This window comes from Homo sapiens, chromosome 14 (assembly GCF_000001405.40).
Source record: "Homo sapiens chromosome 14, GRCh38.p14 Primary Assembly".
Classification (NCBI taxonomy): domain Eukaryota; kingdom Metazoa; phylum Chordata; class Mammalia; order Primates; family Hominidae; genus Homo; species Homo sapiens.
The window spans coordinates 46,450,220-46,476,205 of record NC_000014.9 but is presented as its reverse complement, the minus strand read 5'-3'; the positions used below and the strand labels follow the sequence as shown (position 1 = coordinate 46,476,205).

Below are 25,986 nucleotides of genomic sequence, written 5' to 3'. Positions count from 1 at the left end.
TATAAAACTGTTTTACTACAGATTCAATTTATTTAATGGCTATATTTTATTTGTTTGCTATAAATTCATGAGTTAAAATTATTAATATATTCCTATAAAACTATAAGTTACATTTCAGTCTTTGAATGTATTGGCATGCAATTTATCCTGGTTATTGTTTTACATATATTTCAATTTCTACTACATTACAGTTTTGTTTCCTTTTTTATTCCTAATTTTATGTTTTTTTAATTCCCTGTGATTTTTATTACTAGACATTTGTGTAATATTTTATTTTTATTATTTTGGAAAGAACAAGCACCAAAAATTAACCTCTGTTTTTGGATCAATTTAAGCAATATTTCGTTTTATCAACATTAATTGCATTATTAAATTTACTTTTAATTTGTTTTAGTGTACATTACTTTTTTTAAATTGCCGTTAATTTTCCAAATGTATTTTTGATAGTATTTGTTGGTATATATTTACCTATAATTTCTATCAGTTTGACAAGATTTCTCCTAAATACTAGTTTAATTGGTATTACTGTTGCTGAACTTAATAAATTTTTATATATATTTTTCTGAAATTTCATATTTTCAGTCCTTCTGGGATCTTTTTACTTACAGAAATGTCTCTTTAAATAAAGAATAAATATTAAGAACTTTATTAGTGATAAAGTACAGTCAAAAGAATAAGGCTGAAGACAAGTAAAAAGTGAGTGATAAATGAATTGGTAAGTAATGGCTCAATCTTAGTGAGGCAAACTGATATATTTTTTAGATACTTTAAAAAGTTAGTGTATACAAAATCACAGAGTTCATTTTTAACTTTAAAAGTATAAATACTTCAAGAACGAAAAAGAATGCAGTCTTAGATGCTCCTGACGTACCTACTATGCACCAACCATGTTCAATTATTCTTTAAATTTTCTGCAAGGAATATGGAATTATCATAAATTATCAGGCCACCATCTTACCATTCTCCTAATTTCTATCCAAATTGTTAAATCAGAAAGCAGATCACTGAAAACAAATTCAAAAAGAAAACAAATCTAGTAAGGGAAGTATCATAATTGCACAAGAACACTATAGGTAGAAAATGCAAAACTCAAATGAAAGAAAAAAATTGCTTTAAGTAAGAAACTCATTCATTTCCCAAACATTTACTTACAGAAACTGTAAATATAGGACTAATGTGGTACTTAATAACGTTCACCTAACAAAAGAATTTAAGCATAAATTATAAAGAATAATGACCAGATATTCTACATTCAGAAAAAAAAAAAGACTAGTTTCATCTGAAGCAGAAAATCTTTATTACGTTGTATAATAATGATCTTCGCTTAGGACATTTTAAGGCATTAGAATAAGTTACAAAGAGAATTCACAATGGAAAATTGGAAAAAATATAAATTATAGTTTAATATGAGTCATCACGGTTTGCAAATATCTATTCAGCATAGAATTCAAAATGCAATGCTTATAGAAACATTATAATCTTGCATAAGAGATTCAATGCCATCCCCATCAAGCTACCAATGACTTTCTTCACAGAATTGGAAAAAACTACTTTAAAGTTCATATAGAACCAAAAAAGAGCCCACATCACCAAGTCAATCCTAAGCCAAAAGAACAAAGCTGGAGGCATCACACTACCTGACTTCAAACTATACTACAAGGCTACAGTAACCAAAACAGCATGGTACTGGTACCAAAACAGAGATATAGACCAACGGAACAGAACAGAGCCCTCAGAAATAATGCCACATATTTACAACTATCTGATCTTTGACAAACCTGACAAAAACAAGCAATGGGGAAAGGATTCCCTATTTAATAAATGGTGCTGGGAAAACTGGCTAGCCATATGTAGAAAGCTGAAACTGGATCCCTTCCTTACACCTTATACAAAAATCAATTCAAGATGGATTAAAGACTTAAATGTTAGACCTAAAACCATAAAAACCCTAGAAGAAAACCTAAGCAATACCATTCAGGACATAGGCATGGGCAAGGACTTCATGTCTAAAACACCAAAAGCAATGGCAACAAAAGCCAAAATTGACAAATGGGGTCTAATTAAAGAGCTTCTGCACAGCGAAAGAAACTACCATCAGAGTGAACAGGCAATCTACAGAATGGGAGAAAATTTTTGCAATCTACTCATCTGACAAAGGGCTAATATCCAGAATCTACAATGAACTCAAACAAATTTACAAGAAAAAAACAAACAACCCCATCAAAAAGTGAGCAAAGGATATGAACAGACACTTCTCAAGAGAAGACATTTATGCAGCCAAAAAACACATGAAAAAATGCTCATCATCACTGGCCATCAGAGAAATGCAAATCAAAACCACAATGAGATACCATCTCACACCAGTTAGAATGGCAATCATTAAAAAGTCAGGAAACAACAGGTGCTAGAGAGGATGTGGAGAAATAGGAACACTTTTACACTGTTGGTGGGACTGTAAACTAGTTCAACCATTGTGGAAGTCAGTGTGGCGATTCCTCAGGGATCTAGAACTAGAAATACCATTTGACCCAGCCATCCCATTACTGGGTACATACCCAAAGGATTATAAATCATGCTGCTATAAAGACATATGCACACGTATGTTTATAGCAGCACTATTCACAATAGCAAAGACTTGGAACCAACCTAAATGTCCAACAACGATAGACTGGATTAAGAAAATGTGGCACATATACACCATGGAATACTATGCAGCCATAAAAAATGATGAGTTCATGTCCTTTGTAGGGACATGGATGAAACTGGCAACCATCATTCTCAGCAAACTATCGCAAGGACAAAAAACCAAACACTGCATGTTCTCACTTATAGGTGGGAATTGAACAATGAGAACAAATGGACACAGAAAGGGGAACATCACACACCGGGGACTGTTGTGGGGTGGGGGGAGGGGGGAGGGATAGCATTAGGAGATATAACTAATGCTAAATGATGAGTTAATGGGTGCAGCACACCAACATGGCACATGTATACATATGTAACAAACCTGCATGTTATGCACATGTACCCTAAAACTTAAAGTATAATAATAAAATTTTTTAAAAAACCATTAAAAAATAAGAACTTCATAAAAATTATGCATAGCTTAAGAAATGTTGAATATGGAAAGCTCTGTTCTCATGGATGAAAATTTTAAAAGGTAATAAATGGAAAATCCTAAAAATACTTAGTAAAATAAAATTACATTAGAAGTAAAAAAAAAGAATTCTAAATACTCAATATAATCCCTTTTGTAAGTATGAATAAAATATAAATACTATAAGACTTAAAGCTTATGGAATCCTTTCTCTTTACCTTATTAAAAGTCAAGAATCTCTCTGTAGAATAGTTTTAGGTGGCAGAAATGGTTTTCCTACCATTATATTCCTATTATGTGTGCATCTGTTTCACAGTATTTTTTATAAAAATACTCACTGTGATGGCCACAGAGAACCAGCATAGTTGATTGACAAGCATTATGGGTATCTGTGGCTAAGCTAGTAAGCAAAATAAATCCAGACGTGAATAAACCTATTTATTCTTCAGTAAATGAAATAACTCAAAGGTGAAATCTTTAACATTATAATTCACATGCTGCTCAGATGTCTTTCTACTTTGTGTTTTTGCCTTGGTACTGGACTTTATAGTAACATTGCGATTGAATGTGTTTGCATTACAAACGGGGTTATACTAGCTAGCCAAGTGGAGTCAGCCATTCATACATTGTCATTGCATCAATCTTCCAATCAAGCAACAGACAATCTGTCTCCCACTGTTCCAAGAACCATGCTAGATGTCTTATTAGTCTTAACATTCCATTTCTCTCTCTCAGAACTGCATGTGCTCTCCAATTGTGTTATAGTCTCCTATACCTTGTCTTGATTTGCTGTCAGTTGCTTTGCTAGATAATTGAGGAGTTGCATACAGTATTTGGATATCAAATCTGGAAGAGCATGGAAGCCATAGTTTCGTTAAAATGTAAACATGATTAGATTTTTAGCAAATGTGTTTGGAACTACTAATTAGTTAGTTTAATGTTTTAATATCGAATAAAATGAGGTTGGAGCCTTGAGTCAAGAAGATTCTATTTGCCTGATCTAAATCAAATACTTTCTTTGGTTTTCATTTAATAATTCCATTACAACTAACCTCAAATGTCTTGTAGTTACTTTTCTGTAATCATTCTCTATGTGGTCTTAATTTTTTATATCAATAATACTATAATTGGTGGTAAGCTAGTGTGATAACTTCCCTAAATATACATCAGATAATACAAAGACTGTTAGGAAAATGACTATTCCTTTGAAGTATGAGATAATCTTGTTGGCTTATTCATAATTAAATTGCCAGTCAAAAAATAAATTAGTCATGGGCAAGTCTTATTAGTATTAAATAGCAACATAGAGAAAAATATACATGATAGTTCAAATACTTTCTACATTAAAAAATAAAAGGTAAATTATCGTTGTTGACTTAGGTCTCCTCATTCAACTCCCAGCTTAGAGTGCCTAATCTTTAGCTCTTCAAATAATTTGGGATTGCGTTGTATAATCACATATAGAAAGGTCATTGCAAAGTCTTTATTCCTTTACAATATTTACTTGAATTCTGCCCTATGAAAGAGTTATCATCAACTTGGATTTTAAAGAAATGGAAAACATTTTGGAAAGAGTAAGCACAGTATAGGTACTTACTGGGCTAAAGAGGATCATTTAGATATGTTGATGTAATGGACTGCAAACTGAACAGCATTTACTGCTTGCAGCACTTTTCCTTTTACACATGTCATCACCAGCTTGAAATTTTATATAAAAACAAGATTGTTCCATCAAGATCAATTGTTTCTGCATTAAGAAAATAGAAACATTTTAAAAGAAGAATAGAGCAACATAAAAATACTATAATAAGGATTAAAAAACAGAGGAAAAGCAAGATTTGAAATCAGCTTGTCTTACAAAGCAATAACAATGCATACTTACAAAGCTAGAATGATGGTAATTATTTTGAGGGAAAGAATAACCTCTATTTCTGGAGGTGAAAACCATTACAGATTTACATATTAGTTTAGTTTGACCTCTAAGAATCTGTTTTTACAGAGCTGACTTTGTAAATTTACTCAGGTTCATGTATTCCTCATTTACCGTATTTCACAATTATACTTAAAGTTTAAGTATAAATAGAGCTCCAGGGTCAATTCAGGGTGAGATGAAAATCGAGCTAATGAAAATGATTACTTCAGCAGAGTTTAGTTTGTATATTGTTTATTCTTTTCTGAATCAGGAGGTACTGTGGCAGAGTCCTAGTCAGCAAAATTTGGGCTCTGCAATGGTAAAACTTTCCCTTGTATCTTACCACACATTCCAAAGTTTGATTCAAATGGGGCTGAGCTAATTTTCTTAGAAGGCAATTTCTACATGTAAGAAAGCCATATGAATTCAAACATCAGTCTTTGGTTATGTTCACCTTGCCATTAGAAAAATCTATTTGGAGTCTATGTTTCCGCTACAGTGGCATAGCATAATATATTGTCTACTATTCATAAATTAATCATAATTCATGAGATTACATAATCATAGAAAAGAAAATGAAAGTAGAAGAGCTAAAATAATTTATTTCAACAATCTTAAAATTTTATTTGAACTCTGATCCTTATATAAGCCCAAGGATATGATTATTCATTATGGTAAATGTAACAATCACCACTTCACTTCTATAATTCTTGTTCTACAATATCCAATAGCCATTAAACATGACTATGTGACAATATCAAAATATTTTTGCATTGATTATTTAGTCCAACCATTCTGTTTTGTAAAGGAAGGACCTGAAAACCAGAAGAACTGATTTTCCTAGTGTCACACATGTAATCCTGATGTTAAAATATGATAAGAACCTGTGTCTCTTGATTTCTAGATGAAAATTCATTTCCCTGTTGTCTCTCAACAGTGTTTTGAGTTCTTAGTATGCTTGTAGATTTGACATTTGAATTTTTCGCCGGGTAACACAAATAAGAAATTCTTTAAAAACAATAAAGTGAATTCTTGGTCTTCGAGCTAATTAAGTCTATGACAGATAGCCAGATAGCCAGATAGTTGATCAGAAAAAAACATCTGTAAGGCTAACATTGCTCGAAAATATAATGTTTGATTGAAGGCCCATTAGGTTTTGTGCCTGTGATTTCACTTCATAGTTAAAAATGTTATTTGATAATAATTGATAAACTACAAAAATATATCTGTGTATAATTTTCCCAAATTTTATATTTTCTCATATAATTCATATGCAAACATATTCTTAGAAATTTTAAAACAAAATAGTAAATAAATGTATAGGATGTTCCTCTGTGCCAGAAAATTTAAAAATATATATTAGCCATATATCCAAAAGCTGCCCCAGTGACAACAGAATTCCCTTTTCTTTTCAAATTAGAAGCACAACAGCACCAATAACATAGTGAAGAAGTACAGCCCCGGCAAGCCAGAGGCTGTAACTTTACTATTGGTTCTGTGATACTCCAGAAGTAATTCCCCACGTCTTTCTGGATTTTTTTCTGTATTTTCGTACAATTGTGACTTGTTGCTGAAATAAGGGAGCAATAGGGCAAACAATACTGCTCTGTTACCCCATCAGATACATATTGCCATACTGTTTACCCCAGACTAGAAAAAAATATGAAAACAGAAAGCTGAATATACATTGTTTAGAAGTTCTAACTTATAAATATATTGAGTGTATATATAGTACATATGTATATATACACTATATATATACATGTTTATATATGTATATATATACACACACATATATATAAACATATAAAAAGAGATATTGCAGACAAGAAGTGCAATGAAGCCTGAAAATTTCCTAGGCTCGGGGTTAAAAAGGTGAATGTCAATTAAATCAATAGATTTTGGCATTATTTTATTTGGAAGAGATCAATGCCTCTTCAAAACAGATATGTTCTATATGGAAATAGTGTTAACTCTGTTTAGATAAATACTAGTATTTGTAGCACCTGGACATAAAAAAAAATTTTTACTATCCAACAAAGTTTTGGGGCTCACAGCTCATGGCTTCCCAGGGCAGGTACTTCTTTCTTATACTATACATTTTCAACATCGTCACCCCAAAATAATCATCACTTGAAATTTTCTGAAAGTAGAAAGAAAGGCTTTTATAACTACTATACTCCAAATGAATATCTATGATTTTTATAGGATCTGTCTATAGTCACAGATTGATTTTTTGCCCCAAAATTCAAAAATCTCTGAACAGTGATGCCTAGAGACAAGTCTTTTTGGCATGATAATTTTTAAGAATAATATAATACCTGTTGAAAGTAGTAAGGCAAGACTTTATTATATATACTGTCTGGAAAGGGTAAGGGGATAGCGAGAGTTTGGTTAATAAATGTAAAATTACAGCTAGATTGGAGGAATAAGTTCTAGCATTTGATAGCACTGTAGAGTGACTATAGTTAACAGTAACTTAGTGTATATTTTCAAATAGCTAGAAAAGAGGATTTTGATTTTTTTCAACATAAAGAAATAATAAATGTTTGAGGTAATGGATATACTAATTACCTTGGTTTGATCATTACACATTGTATACATATATTGAAATATCACACTGTAACCCATTAATATGTATGATTATGTGGCAATTAAACATGTTTAAGATGTTCAACACTTTATGAATCAAATGAGATAGAGCGGTTTCACATATTGGCAAGGAAAAACACAGCCAAGCACAAATCCATAACTGAAGGTAAGCAAAGTGGTTTGAGGCAAGTCTATAAAGCATTGCATGGTAATACACCGATTCTCTAGGCTGGATGTTTGTTCTTTTTTTCAATGCCACCTTTAATATCCACTTTTTTGTTTTTCTTTTCATCCTTTCCCATTCACTAGAACAAGTTGCCTTCATGCACTGGTTATAAAAGTTCCTTATTTCTATATATCTTTCCAGGTTCACACAATGCCTGCTATAAGGTCATAAATCTTCCCTCAACGAATAAAATCATTTGGATAAAACTGGATCTGGTGGATATAAATGGGTAAGAATAATGAGATCATTCAACAAATGGCCTTGATATAAGACCATTTCAAATGGAGATAAATAACTTTTCCAATATGCCAATATTCCAGTTCTCCAATAAAGACATTTCTGAATACCAGCAATAGTACATTATAATGAAAAAAAATCTTGGCCATAATTCTACATAAATACAAAATAGAAGAACATTATGTAAGGCCTGAATGAAGAAAATAAAAATTTATTAATATAAAAACCTTGAGTCAATGAAGAAGCAAATCGTGTTTGTGAATGATATGGCCTGAAGGTCTAAACATTTCAGTTTTTCTAATATTTATGTAATTCATTTAACTACAGTAATAATCTTTTTTTTTTTTTCTTTTTTTTTTGAGACGGAGTCTCACTCTGTCACCCAGGCTGGAGTGCAGTGATGCGATCTCGGCTCACTGCAAGCTTCGCCTCCCGGGTTCATGACATTCTTCTGCCTCAGCCTCCCGAGTAGCTGGGCCTACAGGCACCCGCCACCACGCCCGGCTAATTTTTTGTATTTTTAATAGAGACGGGGTTTCACCGTGTTAGCGAGGATGGTCTCAATCTCCTGACCTCGTGATCTGCCCGCCTCGGCCTCCAGAAGTGCTGGGATTACAAGTGTGAACCACCGCGCCTGGCCTTACAATAATAATTTAAAGATGTCCCTTTTGAAAATTTAAAAACACAAGTACTTCTGAAATTATTGCTGAATAAGAAAGAGGCAAAAATAACTAAATAGTTTTGAATAGAAGAGTAAAAATTAAAATTTTCTGTAGATATTAAAATATATTCAACTACTGTCATAGTTAAAGGAGAGTGGAACTGATGAGAATTAGCAGGCAGAATAAAACAAACAAAAAGAGTAAACAGAAACACTGTTATCCTTATCTTGAAGTTAACGTGAGCTATAGTCCTAAGAATTTAGGAATATGAATGTTGCTCTCAGAGACTGAATTGTGAAATCAACACATTAATGCATTATGCATTAAAAATCACCGTAAAGAAATCATATAATTGTGTACATTTTAAAGCATCAGTAGCCTAATTTTAAAAAATCATTTTTAAAACTAACTCAGCAAGTCATACTCTCCCCAGCAATCTTCATTTGTTATTCTAAACTATGTGCCACTCTGCCTTATAGAAACAGTATGCACCGATCCCAGACACTGAGTGTGTGGTCATCATGGCGGTATTGATTCTCATTGTAAATTAATCCGTTGCCTTAGATACATCATTGCTAAGAGAAAAACCTATTTTTTTTAACTTTTATTTTAAGTTCAGGGATACAAAGGCAGGCTAGTCACACAGGTAAACATGTGTCATGGGGGTTTGTTGTATAGATTATTTCATCACCCAGGTGTTAAGCCTACCATCCATTAGTTATTTTTCCTGATCCTCTTCCACTTCCCAGTTTCTAGCTTCCACCTTCCAATAGGCCCTAGTGTTTGCTGTTCCCCTCTATGTGTGCATGTGTTCTCATCATTTAGCTCCCCCTTATAATTGAGAACATGTGGTATTTGGTTTTCTGTTCCTGCATTAGTTTGCTAAGGATTATGGCCTCCAGCTCTATCCATGTACCTAAATAGACATAATATCATTCTTTTTTATGGCTGCATAGTATTTCATGACATATATATATACTGCATTTATTTATCCAGTCTATAATTGATGGGCATTTAGTTGATTCTATGTCTTTGCTACTGTGACTAGTGTTGCAATGAACACACACATGCATGTGTCTCTATAACAGAATGATTGATATTCCTTACAACCTATGTACATTATTTTTATTTTAAAAATAAAGTCTTAATTTAAAATATGACAATACACTGAATTCAATTTTTATCTTATTTTTTATATCTAATTGATTATAAGACTTTTAATGTCTTTATGCACATCTACATTTGTAAAATGAAAATACCTAAGGTTAAATTATTAAAATGCAGGGGAGATATTTAAAAAATTATTTAAGTATTTAAGGAAAAGGTCATGCATTGTATCTTCTACAGAGTCTGGTAAGTAGTTTTTATTCTATGAGTTGTGTGGGGTTTTTTTGGTACACTACATGAAATATAACTTATGATCATTGATATCATGAGACTTCGAAACGAATGTTTTAAGTAACTGTGGATAATATCTTTATGTAGAGCTTTGACAATCTAAAAATGGTGTGAAAATGTTGAAGTAAAAAAATTGCAAAAAATATGTTAAGGCCTTAGTATTTAATTTGGATTGATAGAGTATACTTATAATTAAGTATCAATTTTTTGTTAAAAATAATTGTGCTAAAATTTATAAAATTAAATATATTTCTATATAATATATGGACTATAAAAATAATCAAAGTTTAGTAAAAATTCAGAATTGAAAAATTTAAAAGGACTGATTAACAAATCAATTTTTAGATTACCTAATACCATGACTGATACACAGTAAATATTTATTAAATGTTAATTTAAAAATAAAAATAATGACTAGTATTTACTAAATGCCCATTCTATGCCTAGAACTGATAATTATAACACATGTATTATCTTATTGTCCCAACACAAATTTAGGAATTAGCAATATGGACCAATAATCCCTGCCTAGGCTACCATCTAGTAGTGATCAATTTAACTTTTAATCAGAATTGTCACACTGGCACTCCAAGAAAGCTTTGCAAATTCTGTTACAGAGACAAAGTTATATTGCTTAATGCTTATTTAGAAAATAGCATGAAATCCTAAATTTTAATGGCATTTTAAACTATTTCTGCACATTTTAATATTTTCTCTTTTGAGAAGTTGTGTTAATGAATCTGACCACTATGAAAATATATCCACTGGGCGGGGTGGCTCACGCCTGTAATCCCAGCACTTTGGGAGGCCAAGGCGGGTGGATCACAAGGTCAGGAGTTCGAGACCAGCTTGGCCACTATGGTGAATCCCCGTCTCTACTAAAAATACAAAAAGTAGCCAGGCGTGGTGGCAGACGCCTGTAGTCCCAGCTACTAAGGAGGCTGAGGCAGGAGAGTTGCTTGAACCGGGGAGGCAGAGGTTGCAGTGAGACGTCAAGCCTGGGAGACAGAGCGAGATTCTGTCTCAAAAAAAAAAAGAAAAGAAAATATGTCAAATTTTGTGGACAATGAGGAAAGTAATTTGAAAATGTTGCTTGCTATTTTTGAAAGAAAATATTATTTTTATTAAAGTATTATGTAATTATCACCTAGAATTAAACATGGTTCAATTCAATGGTCATTATATTACAGAAGATTGAAATAATTTTCTTTTATAGATAGGTGAGAGTAAAAAGAAGGGAAAAATTTGAAATACCTATTCAGATAAATAAGCAAAAAAAGAAGTTAAAACTGCCTGTTTACACAGAAAACTCTCAGTGTTCTCAAACCATGATTCCTGAGTGCAAACCTGTTGGTATTTGGAAGTTTGGGCAACACACATACAACTTGTTTATAAATGGTTTCTATAGCACAACCCACATACCATCCAAAACCTCCATGCACTTGGAATTGAGGAAGAGATCTCATGAGACTTCACACTCAATTACAGAGTACTCTGAAGGGTGCATTTATGCTGGTTTTCTCTATTAATTATAGCAAGTGTCACCATGGACAGCTTACAGCAGTTAATTGAATTTGACAGGTGAACTTGAGAGCCCTTTTCACTGAATGCAGTAGGGAGTTGGGAAAGGAAAAGGGCTACCCAAAACGGAAACAGAAGACTCTGAAATAACAAAATAGTAATGAAATCAGCATTAGGTAGTTTGGGAATCTTTATTTCCAAAAAGAGAGAATGATCAGACAATCAGTGAGATGCCATTTCATTATTTTTATATTCTATTAGACTGTCCTATTTGCTTCTATTTTATACATTTCTGTACTGAGATGTATAATTTTAGAGACTTTGATGTTATTTTACTAACTGCACAAAATTAAAATATATTGCTCTTCCATCCTTCCTATTGGACACATCCAAAAGCCATAGGCACGCAATTTTAAGTTCAAAATTAATTTCATTTTTTTACTCACCTCACTTTAAAATTGTCTCCTGCTTCTGTATTCCTGATGCTTGTCAAAACATTAAAAAAGAACAATCGATCTAATTACAAATCTCATCTTTGACATGGTTTTCTTTCACGAGCCTTTCACTAACACTATTCAGTAATTCCCATTGCTTCTATTGCTAAGTATCTCTAGAATCCATTCTAAACTCATTGCCATTTCTCTAATTCAGACCCTCATTATATTAGCTTATTTAATAATAATGTATTTTTCTGAAATCCTCTCATTCTATATTCCTGTTTTCATTTTCATATCCTCTGTGTGTTCCTGCCTTGAGTCCATCCTTTATAACATTCTTAATGTGAATTATTTTCTAAAATGCAAATTTGATTATGTTATTTCTATCTCTAGGAAAGTGATAGACAAATCATTATATTCAGTTTAATTAATTAAATTTGAAATTTAAATAGATACATATAGGTACATATAAGCTACTGTATTGAACAGTACAGTTCAAGGAGGATCCTCTAAAAATGCAAAATAAAATATAAACATTAAACTTGAATCTTAAAAGAAGCATTCCACTTACCCAAGGTAAAGCAGAAAAAGAGAAACAGAGGAATGCAAAGTATACAGAGATAAATACTAAACAAATAACAGAATGGTGGAAACAAATCCAACAATATCAACAACTATATTTAATGTAAATGGGCTAAACATGCTACTAAATATTAGATGTTTTGAGACCGGATTTTTAAAAAAGAGCTCAACAGTTATATGGTGACTATAATCCATGTACTTTAAAGATAAAGTCTTAGGTGGAAAGTAAAATGATGAATAAAAGATATATAATGTAAACAATAATCACATGAAAGCTGGACTGTTTCAACAAAAACAAGTGAATTTTCAAGACAGGAAGATAATTAGAGATAAAGAAAACAATTTTATAAAGAGTAATTTTAAAAAAAGAAGACACAATAACCATAAATGTGCATACTCCCAATAGCAATAGCAAAGCTTCAAAATACGTTGAGAACACCAACAGAACTGATACGATACATAGACAATCTGTGGTCATACCTAGATATTTTAATACCCATATTTTAGTAATTAATAGAATAGAAAATAAAATTAATAAGTTTATAGTTTTGAATAATACCATCACACACCTTGGCCTAATAAATATTTTAAATTTTTTTAAATAAATATTTTTAAAGTGACACATAATTGTGAATATTGATGGGGTACAATGTGATATTTTGATACATGTATACAATGAGTAATGATCAAATTAGGGTAATTAGCATAACTGTCACCTCAAAACTTTGTGTTGGGAACATCCAAAATCCTCTCTTCTAGCTATTTGAAAAAATAAAATAATTATTGTGTACTATATTCACTCTACAGTGCTATAGAACACTTGAACTATTCCTCCAACTTAGCTATAATTTTGTATCCATAACCTTCCTAAACACTCTTCTCAGCCACTAGTAACCACTATTCTGCTCTCTACTTCTATGAGATCAACTTTTAAGTTTCTACGTAGGACTGAGAACATGTGGTATTGATCTTTCCATGCTTGACTTATTTCACTGAACATAATGTTCTCCAGGCCCATCCATGTTGCTGCAAATGACAAGACTTCATGCTTTTTATGGCTGAATGGTATATATGCCACATTTTTTAATCCATTCATGTGTTGATGAACACTAGGTTGACTGCATATCTTGGCTATTGTGGATAGTGCTGTAATAAACATGGGAGTGCAGATATCTCTTTGACAAACAAATTTCTTTTCCTTGGCATATATACCCAATAATAGGATTGGAGGATCATATGGCAATTCTATTTTTATCTTTTTGAGGAACATCCATACAAATTTGTATTCCCATCTATCATGTATAAGAGTTCCTTTTTCTCTGCATCGTCATCACCATTTTTTTAAACTAATAGCCATTCTAACCAGAGTGAGATGATATCTCATTGTGGTTTTGGTTTGTTTTCTTTCAATAATTAGTGATGTTAAACATGTTTTCATGTAGTTGGCCATTTGTATGTTTTCCTCTGAGAAACGTCTACTGAGATCATTTGAACGTTTTTGATCAATTTTTATTTTTACTTTTTTGCTGTTGAGTTGTTTGAGTTACCTATATGGGATATTAATCAATTATTAGATGAATAGTTGCAAATATTTTCTCCCATCCTTCAGGTTGTCTCTTAGCTCTATTGATTGTTTCTTTTGTTCTGTAGAACATTTTTAATTTGATATAATCCCACTATTTTTGCTTTTGTTACCTGTGGTTTTGAGGTCTTAACCATAAAATCCTTGCTAAGATCAATATTTTAAAGCAGTTCACTTATGTTTTATTCTAGTAGTTCCATAGTTTCCAAGTCTTTCTTTTAGGTATTTAATTTATTTTGAATTGGTTTTGTGTATGGTAAGAAATGGAGGAATAGATTTGTTCTTCTGCATATGGATATCCAGGTTTCCCAACACCATTTATCCAAGAGACTGTCCTTTCCCCAATGTTTTTGGCACCTTTATTGAATAGCAGCTGGCTATAAAATGTGGAAGTGTTTCTGGGTTCTCTATTCTGTTCCATTGGTCTACACTTCTGTTTTCATGCCAATGTCATGCTGTTTTGACTACTATAGCTTTGTAGCATAATTTGAAGTCAGGTAATGTGATGCCTCTAACTATGTTTTTTTTTTTTTTTTTTTTTTTTTTTTTTTTTTTTTCTCAATATTGCTTTGGCTACTTAGGGTATTTTCTGGTTCCATATAAATTTTAGGATTTTTTTTTTCTATTTCAGTGAAGAATATCTTTGGTATTTTTACAGGGATTGCATTGAATCTGTAGATCATCTTGGGTAGTATGGTCATTTTAACAAAATTTATTCTTCCAATCCATAAACATAGGATATCTTTCTATTTTTGTGTGTGTGCGCTCTTCAACTTTTAAAATCAATATTTTAGAGTTTTCATTGTAGAGATCTCTCATCTCCTTGGAAAATTTCTTCCTACATTTTTTATTTATTTTGTTGCTATTATAAATGGCATTGCTTTCCTGATACTTTTGTCCACTGGTTCATTGTTGGTATATAGAAATGGTACTGATTTTTATACATTGATTTCACATCCTGCAAATTTACTGAATTCATTTGTTGGACCCAAGAGATTTTTGATGGCTCCTTTAGATTTTTCTATTATATGATCATGTCATCTGCAAACAGAGACAATTTACTTTCTTTTTTCCAATTTCAATATGTTCTATTTCTTTCTCTTTCCTGATTGCTCTGGTTGGGACTTTCAGTATTATGTTGAATAAGAGTTGTAAAAGTGGTCATCCTTGTTTTGTTCTAGTTCTTAGAGCAAAAGCTTTCAACTTTTCCCCATTCATTATGATGTTGGCTGTGAACTTGTCATACATGGCCTTTATTGCATTTAGGTATGTTTCTTCTAAAGCTAATTTGTTGAGTGTTTTTATCATCAAGAAATGCTGAATTTTATCAAATGGTTTTTCTGCATCTATTGAAAGGATTACATGATTTTTATTCCTTATTCTGTTGGTATGATATATCACATTATTGATTCATGTATACTGGATCATTCTTGCATCCCTAGGAAAGTCCAACTTGATCATGGTGTATAATCTTTTTTATGTGCTTATGGATTTACTTTGTTGGTATTTTCTTGAGGATATTTGCACCCTATATTCATCAGAAATACTGACCTCTAGGTTTTTTCTCATTGTTATTGTTGTTGCTATTGGAGTGTCCTTTCCTGGTTTTGGTATAGGGATAATGCTTGTCACATAGAATGAGTTAGGAAGAATTCTCCATCCTTCAATATTTTGAAATAATTTCAAAAATATTATTAATTTTTCTCTAAATGTTAGGTAGAATTTGCCAATAATGTCATCTTGTCCCAGGCTTTTCTTTGTTAGAATGCTCTTTTCTTTTTTACTGATTCAATCTTATTAGTCATTACCGGTCTGTTCAAGTTGTCTATTTCCTCCAGGTTCAATCTTGGTAGGATGTATGTGTCCAGAAATTTATAAATTCCATCTAGGTTTTCCATTTTTATTTAGCATATAGTTGTTCATAATCATCTGTAATGATCCCTTGCAGTTCTGTGGTATCTGCTGTAACGTCTCATATTTCATTTTAGGTTTTATTTATTTGGTTTTTCTTTCTTTATTCTTTCCTTAGGTAGTCTAATAGCTTGTTGATTTTATTTATCTTTTCAAAAGACAAATTTATTTGATTATATTATTTTTGTCTTTATGTTACTTATTTCAGCTCTTTTATTATTTATTTCCTTTTACTAATTTGCAGTTGGGTTTGTTTTCACTTTTCTAGTGTATTGAGTTGCATCGTCAGGTTGTTTAAAACCTCTCTAAATTTTTGATGTAGGTCCTTATTGGTATAAACCTCACTCTTAATACTACTTTTGTTGTATTCCATAGGTTTTAGCATGTTGTATTTCTGTTTTTATTTGTTTCAATAAATTTATTTACTTCCTTAATAATTTCTTCCTTGACACATTGTTGTTTAGGAGAGGTTGTTTAATTTTTATGTATTTGTGCAGTATTCAAAGTTTTTGTTATTGATTTCTAGGTTTATTTTATTATGGTCCCAAAAATACTTGATATATTTTAATTTTTCTTAAATTTATTAATACTTTATTTTTTTGGGCTAGTATGTGGTTTATCCTGAGAGACGTTCCAGGCACCAATGAGAAGAATGTGTATTCTGCTATTGCTGGATGGAATGTTCTGTACATGTTTTTTAGGTCCTTTTTTTATACTGCAGATTAAATCTTATGTTTTTTGTTGGTTTTCTGCCTAGATGATCTGTCGAATCCTGAGAGAAATCTTCTGTGAGAAGATTCTTCTAATGGGCACACCCGCGTATGCAACTTGATGCTATTCTTTAAGATTTTTAGAATTCCCTGTCTTTGACTTTTCAGTTTGACTGTAATGTGCCTCAGAAAGGATCATTTTAGTTTGAAACTATATGGAATCTTTGGCTTCCTGAATTTAGTTGTCCATATGTCTTCCAAGACTTGTGAAGTTTTCAGATATTATATCATTAAATAGGTTTTCCAAGCCTTTTCCCATCTCTTGTCTTGAAACTCTCTTAATTAAAAAACTTTTTCACTTAATGGTGTCCCATAGTCCAACAGACTTTCTTTATTCTATTGTATTCTTTTTTATATATGACTGGATTATTTTAAAGAATTTTATTCATTGAGTTCTTCAGCTTCAAGATTTCAGTTTGGTTCTTTTTTAATATCTATCTCATTTTGAATTGTTAATTCAGATGATAAGTTGTTTTCCAGAATTTGTTAAATTGTTCATCTGCATACTCTTATATTTTTCTGAGTTTTCTTAATACTATTATTTTGAATTCCTTTTCAGGCAATTCATAAATTTCCATTTCTTCCCAAAGAAGAACTGGTATAATTCTCAGTTAACAGAGAATTATTGTGCTTCTTTAGTGGTGTCATGCTTCCTTGCATTTTTATGTTTCTTGTATCCATATATTTGGCAGAATAGTCATATCTTCCAATTTTGTAGAGTAGTTTTTGTGGGAAAAGACTTTTACCTGCAGATGTGTCCTAGATTGTTGGTTGGGTAGGGTAAAACCAATGGTTGACTTCATTTTGGGTCAGTGCCATAGTGCAGTTTTGTGCTGTTTCTTCAGCTATAGTTACTGTCAGTGATACATGTGCATGCTTCAGTAGCTTAGGCTGCAGAGGTTTGTGTGGCTGATCCATCTATTTTGGTTATACTCTTCTGGGGGTGGAGTGCAGTCCAGCCCATACTTCAGGGAAGCATGAGGCTGGTCAGCTTGTTGCTTGGCTAAGGTTCTCCCCCTGTGGTAAGTGGGCACCAGGCTTTTACATGGTTAGTGGAATCATGAGTTGGTTACTTGGTAGCTTGTCTTGGGTGCTCTAATAGACATATAGAGTACTTCATCAAACATTAAGAATACACATTTTTTTCAAGTGCATATGAAAATGTTAATGAAGATAGAGCCATAAAATGTTTCTGAACCATTTCAAAACACTGAAATATTATAGTACATATTTTCTTGCCACAGTAAAATTAAATTAAAAATAAATTACTACATCTATGGACACAAAATTTACTAAACATAAAATAAAATTAATGACAGAATTTATACAAAATAAAAGGAACTCATTAAAAGATACAGTTAAAAAATGAAGTCACAAATTCATAGAAATTTATTTGTGAGACACATCTGATAAAAGGTGAATCAAGAATAAAGTTATTATAAATGTATAAAAATAAAAAATAAAAACAGGCAAAACGTTTGAACAAGTATTCCATAAGGATGATATACAAATCATCATAAATAAACACACTTTATGGTCATTAGATATGAAATCTTCTCCATATCATTACATTATTACTAGTTAGGAAAATATAATTTAAAATCACAGTGAGATACTAGAACATCTAAAATGACTAACATAAAAAAAGAGCACTAAATGTTGGCAAGGATGTGGAAGAACATCTCTTACATTACTAATAGCATTGCACATCATACAATCAATTTGAAAAAGAGTTTTCAATTTCTAATAAACTAAGACCCAGCAATATGACTGCTCAGTATTTATCCAAAGAAACTAAAATGTATATATTCACAAAAAAGTGTATAAAATGTTTGTATACTTTTTTCAAAACAGAATAAAACTGGAATCAGTGTAATTATTTACCAACCAGAGATAGATAAACTAACATTTTAGTCATACAGTTAAATACCAATAATATATATAAATTAATAAATAAAAATGCATTACTGATACATGCAGCATTTACACCATGGAAAGACTCAAAAATATTTTGTTGAATAAAGAAAGCTAGACACTAAAAACAGATATGAACCCATTTATATAAAGTTTGAGTGGAGGCTAACCTAATCTGTTGTGATATAATTTAAAAGAGTGGTTTCTGTGGTTGTTGGAAAGGAGACACAAGAGAACTTTCTGAGGTAATGGAATTATTTTATGCCTTGATTTTGATGGTGTTTGAGTACATACATATATTAAAACTCAATATTTTATGCATTTAATTCTATGTAGATTTTATCTCGATCCCAAAATATCGAATTTTTAACACCCTGATATTAAAGATAAAATTGTAATTAGCCCATAAAAATTTTCACATTTACTTGGAATAAAAGAAAGAAATGCAAAATCCAAAGAAATATATCATTTATACCTACTTAATAGACTAATTTACATTAAATTAGTGGAATATTAAATTTATATACTCCTTATGAAAAACATGTACCCTGATTCAGTAATTCAACCTTTACAAATAATAAATTATTCAGGAAAATTTTGATATCATGTATATCAATGTGGCATTTTTTATAATAGTAAATTGTAAGCAACTGACATTTCCCAAAATAGAATAACTGCATTGATTAAATAGGTGGCAAACCATTTGTCTAGTCTTTAAAGACTAGGTTTTTTAAAAGTATATTTTATTATTATGAAAAAATATTCCTAGTACAATGTAAAAGAGAAAAAAGTTCATAGTTTAAAAATATATTCAGTAATGTTGCTACTTTAAAAAATACACATTCAGATATGTTACAAATAAAAAGCAACTGTAGCAACACATTCGTCATGTCTCTTGGATAATAGAATTACAGTGAATTTTATATAATTTTCTATATACTTTTGTGTTTTGTGATTTTTTCAATATATTATCTTTATAAATGCTTATATGTATAGACTATCTTAAATTATTACATTTTAAAAAGGCTTTAGTTTACTATCTCTTGCTGAGATTCTCTTTAGAGCAAATACTCTTTAGAAATTTGTCACTGACCATTTTTTAGGCAACCTGTTGTGATAATACATTGCATTAGAGTTTCCTGGCAGTTAGAAAGATACATATGGGTATGTGTGTACATATATATATGTGTGTGTGTGTGTGTGTGTGTGTGTGTGTGATGAGATATATATACAGATAGATAGATATGATTAAGAAAGGCCTACTAAGATTTAAGAAAAAAGTGTCAAACGAAAAAGAATTAAATTAAAACCAAAAGGCCTATGAGTAAGTAACATATTTTGGATATTAGCCCTTTATCAAATATATGTTTTGAAAATATTTTATCCCATTCCTTGGACTGCCTGTTGTTGATTGCTTCCTTTGCTGTGCAGATGCTTTTCATTTTCAATCCCCTTCTTTTATTTTTGCTTTTAATATTCAAAATATATAAAGAACTCATACAGCTCAATAACAACAACAACAAGAAAACACATAAACAAAAAACTCAAATAACCTGATTTTAAACGGGCAAATGACCTAAATAGACATCTTTTCAACAAAGTCATTAAAATGGCCAACAAGTATATGAAAAAGGGCTAACATCACTATTGGGAAATGCAAATCTAAACCACAATGAGATGTTGCCTCTATCTATCTATTATCTATTAGAAATCTATTATCTAGCTATTATTGAAAAGACAAGAAAACAAATGTTAAGGACGTGGAGAAAAGGGAACCCTCACACACCATTGCTGGAAATGTAAATTGGTAAAGTCATTGTGTAAAACATTATGGAGGTACCTAAAAGTTAAAAATAGAACTACCACATCTAGCAATTCCAATTTTGAATACATATTCAAAGGACATGAAATCAGTATCTCAAAGACATATTTGCACCCCTAATTTGTTGTAGCATTATTCACAATAGCTAAGACTGGGAACAACCTAAGTGTCTGCCAATGAATAAATGGAAAAAGAAAATGTGGTGTGTATATACAGTGGAATATTATTAAACTATAAAAAGAAGGAAATCCTGCCATTTGCAACAATCTGGATCATTATACTAAGTAAAATGAGCCAGCCACAAAAAGATACTCTATGACCTTACTTGTACGTGAAAACTAAAAAAATTAAACTTATAGAATCAGAATAGAATGGTGTTTGTCAGAGGCTGGGGGTTAGGGAAAATGGGGAGCTACTGGTCAAAAGGGTACAAAAATTCAGTTATAAGATGAATAAAATATAATATTCTAATGTATAGCATGGTGACTTTAGCTAATAATAATGTATTCTTTATTTGAAATTTCTGCGATAGTAAATCTTTGGGAAAGATCCTTGCTATACACACTCAGACAGACACACACACAAGGGTAATTGTGTGATTATATATGTTAATTAATTTAATTGTGGTAATCACTTCAGAGTGTATACATATATCAACTCACGTTGTATAACTTGAATATATACAATTTTTATTTGTCAGTTATAGCTCAATAAAACTGGAAAATAGTCAAATGTCTATGTTGATACATAAAGCAATAAGCATTCAGTGAAAAATTTTTCTAACAGTTACTTATAATTTAAGTTTTCCTATTATGAAGTTGGCCTCCTTTTGACATCTGAATATTCTGTGCACAGATATAAAATATTTTATTTTTAATGCAGATTTTAGTATTGTATTCAAGAGCAATTATTTATGACAAATAACCTCCAGTCATTATTTAGAATTTTTCTTCTACTCACAGTAACATTTCTAGGTAGAGCACAGAAAATAGTTGACCTTGAGTTGGTCTTTCCATTAGTGAATTAGTTACTTAGCATTTATTCCATTTGAACTGACAGCAAGAACCTTTTTTTGGGAATTATAAGAAAACTATTTTTTAAAAAACTTTCTATAACATATGCAGGATCCATAAAACTTATTGACTGCCATGTAGACCAAATATTTATATGATGTTCTATGAAAGGAACGTGAAGAGGCAGATATTACTTATTTGTTATGAACTGCAGATGGAGAGTGTTGCAAATGAGAAGAATTAGATGTAGAAATTGTATAAACAAATAATAGTTTAAATTTAATGATCTTGGTAAAGATGTTATATAATCTTAGTAATCTATGGTATTTAATAGAATTATTTGCATTAATATGGATGTGTTTTCAAATGTAAAACCTCAGTATTAACTGATTTAAAAAATAAGTGAACTTATAAATGAGAAATCCTAAGACACATTTTCAATATAAAATTATCCGTTAGTGAAAAGAGATGAAGACAATGGATCACTAGTGCTATAATACAACAGCTAATTTAATAGGGAAAAAAGCAATCCATATGAATTTATTTTATTTAATATAAACTGGAAGATGTCATTTGTATTCTTTTATGTCAAATTTTTATGGCAGATTGCATATACTGAAATTGTTTTTACTAAAAAGTTCTGATGAAATATATCATCTATTTTATTTTATTAGCACATGACTGAGCTAGTAAAGAAATAAATAGACATTTCCAAGGTCAGAAGTAAAAAAATTTCTAAGTCTGAGGCTACCAAGGAGCTTCAGCCAATCCCCAGCACTTCTGTATTAATGACTTCACACAGCACAGAAGGTAAATACTAGGCTTTGAACAGCATGGGAAATTTGAACAAAACCTCACATACAAGCTCTGGTAGATTTCATGTTGAACCTAAAATTCATACATTAAGCCATAATATTTAAACAAGTTATTCATGGGGATAAATGTGCTCCAAATGAAGCAGGACATTTAAAAAACTTAATACTCTTCTCACATCTAAGTTCAGCACAAGTTAAAATGGAAGAAACATGGCTGGAAATACAGTTTACCAAAATTGACCCATAGCCATTAAAAGTTCAGAGAGGTAAACTTTCAGAGGAGAGGTAAATTATTATTAAATAGTATCTCTCTCTCTTGCATACACACACACACACACACACACACATGCACACACACACAATTCACCAATTTACCAGGTCCAGATGTTTTTACAATATCAAACTTCAAACACCACTGAATCCCAATGTTATATAAATTGTTCCAGAAAATAAAAATGGTGAAAAACTTGAAATTTACATATTAAACCTCAAATTTACATTTAAAATGTAGCATTGATACCCATACTTGATAAATTTTACAAAAAATGATACAAGAAAATGGAAAGAAAGCTAACCTATCTCACTTACAAATATCAGTGTAAAAACCCTAAATAAAATATCAGCACATATATTAGAGCAGTACATTGAGAATTTCTTACAGAAAAACCATCTAGGATTTTACCCTAGGAATACAAGAGTGAAAGGACAATTCTATATTATGATATAAATTAACATATTTCATCATATTCATTGATATAAAGACAATCATAAAATGCAACTCTCATCCTTGATTGAAAAAAAGAATAAAAATAGGAATTCATAGATACTTTACATGTGTGTCTATTCAATTTATCCAATACAATTAGAAAAGAGACAAGAATTTGAGGCAGAAATTAGGAAAAGATAAAACTATCCCTATTTCCACAAGAACTAATAATATACCTGAAAAATATTTGATAATCATAGAACTAACTCAAGGCAAATAATTCCCAAAGTAACCAAATATACAATTAGCATAGTAGCCTTCATATACTCAAACAAAAACTAGTTAGGAGATAAGACAGAAGGGAAAACTCTTCTAACACTAGCAGTATTCCAAAAATAAAAGAAAGAAAAAAAAACATTTAGGAATAAAATTAGAAAAAAAAGGTCAAAATCTATATAAGAAAAGCCATAAAAAACTCAAATCATATAAAAATAGCTTTAAGCAACTGAAAATGCATTCTTTGGATGAAATGCATTGTCATGTTGTGAGGTTAGAAAACAGTCCACAAGATCACTCTAATTCAGACACCAACTGAAGAGTTAGGGGTCCTCAAGACCACCCTTACTTCGCACATCAGTTGCAAGTATTGGGGTACTCAAGACTACCTTCAGCTTTGATAATTGAATAGAAGGACTCACAAAACTCACAGAAAGCTGTCAATACTCATAGTTATCATTTATTACAGTGAAAGGGCATGCACTGAAATCAGCTAAGGGAAGAGACCCACAAAGCAGAGTCCAGGAAAGCTCCAAATACAGAATTTTCAGTTGTCCTTTTCCAGTAAAGTCATGTATAACATTAACACTATGTTACAATAGGCATTAAATATTGACAGCCAAGGAAATTCACCGGAGTCTTGGTGTCCATAATTTTTATTGAAGGTTGACCTCAGTCTCTATCCCCTCTGCAGTTCAACCTGATATTGCATGACCCAATGCCGCCACCCTAAGTCATGTCCTAGAATTTGAAGGCAAAGGTCAGACCTCTTTTTGGACAAGGTTAAATTGTTTACTATGGAAACATATATGTTAATTTTTTCTAAGTTAATTTATATATTTTGATATAATGCCAATAAAATATCAACATTCTTTATCTGAGATTAGGGAACAGTCAGTTCTAAATTATATATGAAAAATGGACATTCGATAAATTCTAGAAAAACTATCAAAAGTGAAAGCAATGAGGACAGTTGACCCCTGACAAATATAGAACACCCTTGATAGTATACTCTCTGGTACAGTAGCCACTAGTCACAAATATCTTTGTAAGTCAAAATTTAAATTAACTAAAAGTAAATAAAATAAAAATTCAGTTTATCAGTCATATTGGCCATATTTCAAGTGGCTATCATTTTGCACAATGCAGCTATGAAACATTTCCATTACCTCCGAAAGTCTACTGGATTGTATTGCCTTAGAGCTTCTATATTAAGCAATATTGCTTCAAGAGTAGAGAGAGGCACAAAACAGAAAGTCAAAATAGACTGACCCACCCAGTAATATGGATATTTAATTTGTGATAAAGATGAAATATCAAGCCAATGCTATAATAATATTTAATAAGTGGTATAAATCAGTTGAGTAGCCATTTAAGAAAATGTATAATTGGATCTGTACCTCAAATCATAAAGAATCAAAAGAATACATATATACACAGCATGGGTAGATTCACCTGGGACCTGGATATGGGTAATGACTTTCTTACTGTGATTAAAAATAAAGATGTACTAAAAAAGTAATAAAATCAGACACCACTTAAACCCAATGATCGAAATTAGCATAATGAATTTTATACCAATTTCAGTATAAACTGAAATCATGTGCCTTTTAATGTAATACACTGGGAAGTAGATGGCATCATATAGGTCTTATCTATCAAAAATGCTTTACTTACATCCAATCATAACTACATAATTAGAAAAATCTATATTGAGAAATATTCTGCAAAAAAATTGGCAAGGATTGTAAAAAATGAAAACACTATAAGAATAAGGGTATGCGTTTAGATTAAAGGATATTAAAGAGGCATGACTAATAAATTTATTTTTGATCCTTGATTATACCAAATAAAAGCTGAAAATGATATAACTAACATCACTGAACTAAGAAAACTTCAGTACGTATAGTAGATAATATTAATCAGTTAACTTACTTGAGTATGAAAATTACACTGAAATTATATATTCTTGGAAGTTATATGCTGAAGTACTTAACAATGAAGAATTTTTAGGTCTGTTACTCACTGAGTAATGGCTAAAGCAGTCATTTATCGATTGTATTGTTTAGACTTTTCTATTCCAAACGACCCCAAACTTAATGGCTTAGTGTAACAATCAATTATTAACTCACAAATTTCTGGCTGCCAATAAGGAAAAGGCTCAGAAGGATGATCCTGCTCATCTTCCTGAGCTCAATCATAATGGAGTCAGTCACCTGACATTTCTTCTGGGAGTGGATGATCTGGGATCACTATATTCACATGCCTAGTGCTTTGTAGGCTATTGGTTTGAGCACCTTAATTATGCTCTACGTGGACTTTGTGAAGGTTAGCTGGAGTATATTCCTATCACAGCAGATTTCCAATAGGAGGAGAGTGGTAGCTTCTAAGAGTTCATGACCTAGATTGAAGACTCACATGATGACACTTCTGCTGCATTCCATGGATCAAAGCAAGACAAAAGACCACCCCAGATTCAAGCCGTTGGGATACCAACTTTGCCTTTGATATGA

At 31.3% G+C, this 25,986-nt stretch overlaps 1 long non-coding RNA gene across 4 annotated transcripts in view; it reads right to left on the bottom strand.

The window, feature by feature from the left end:
* The window catches only part of LINC00871 (long intergenic non-protein coding RNA 871), a 437,745-nt gene that overhangs the window by 25,698 nt on the left and 386,061 nt on the right, over window positions 1-25,986 (bottom strand). For 2 of the 4 annotated variants that reach the window (NR_102699.1, NR_102700.1), the window contains exon 1: window positions 4,695-4,847. The exons of the other annotated variants lie outside the window; for them this stretch is intronic. This is a non-coding gene — a long non-coding RNA (long intergenic non-protein coding RNA 871). Of the gene's footprint in view, window positions 1-4,694; window positions 4,848-25,986 lie in introns of those variants that run through there. 4 annotated transcript variants of the gene reach the window in all.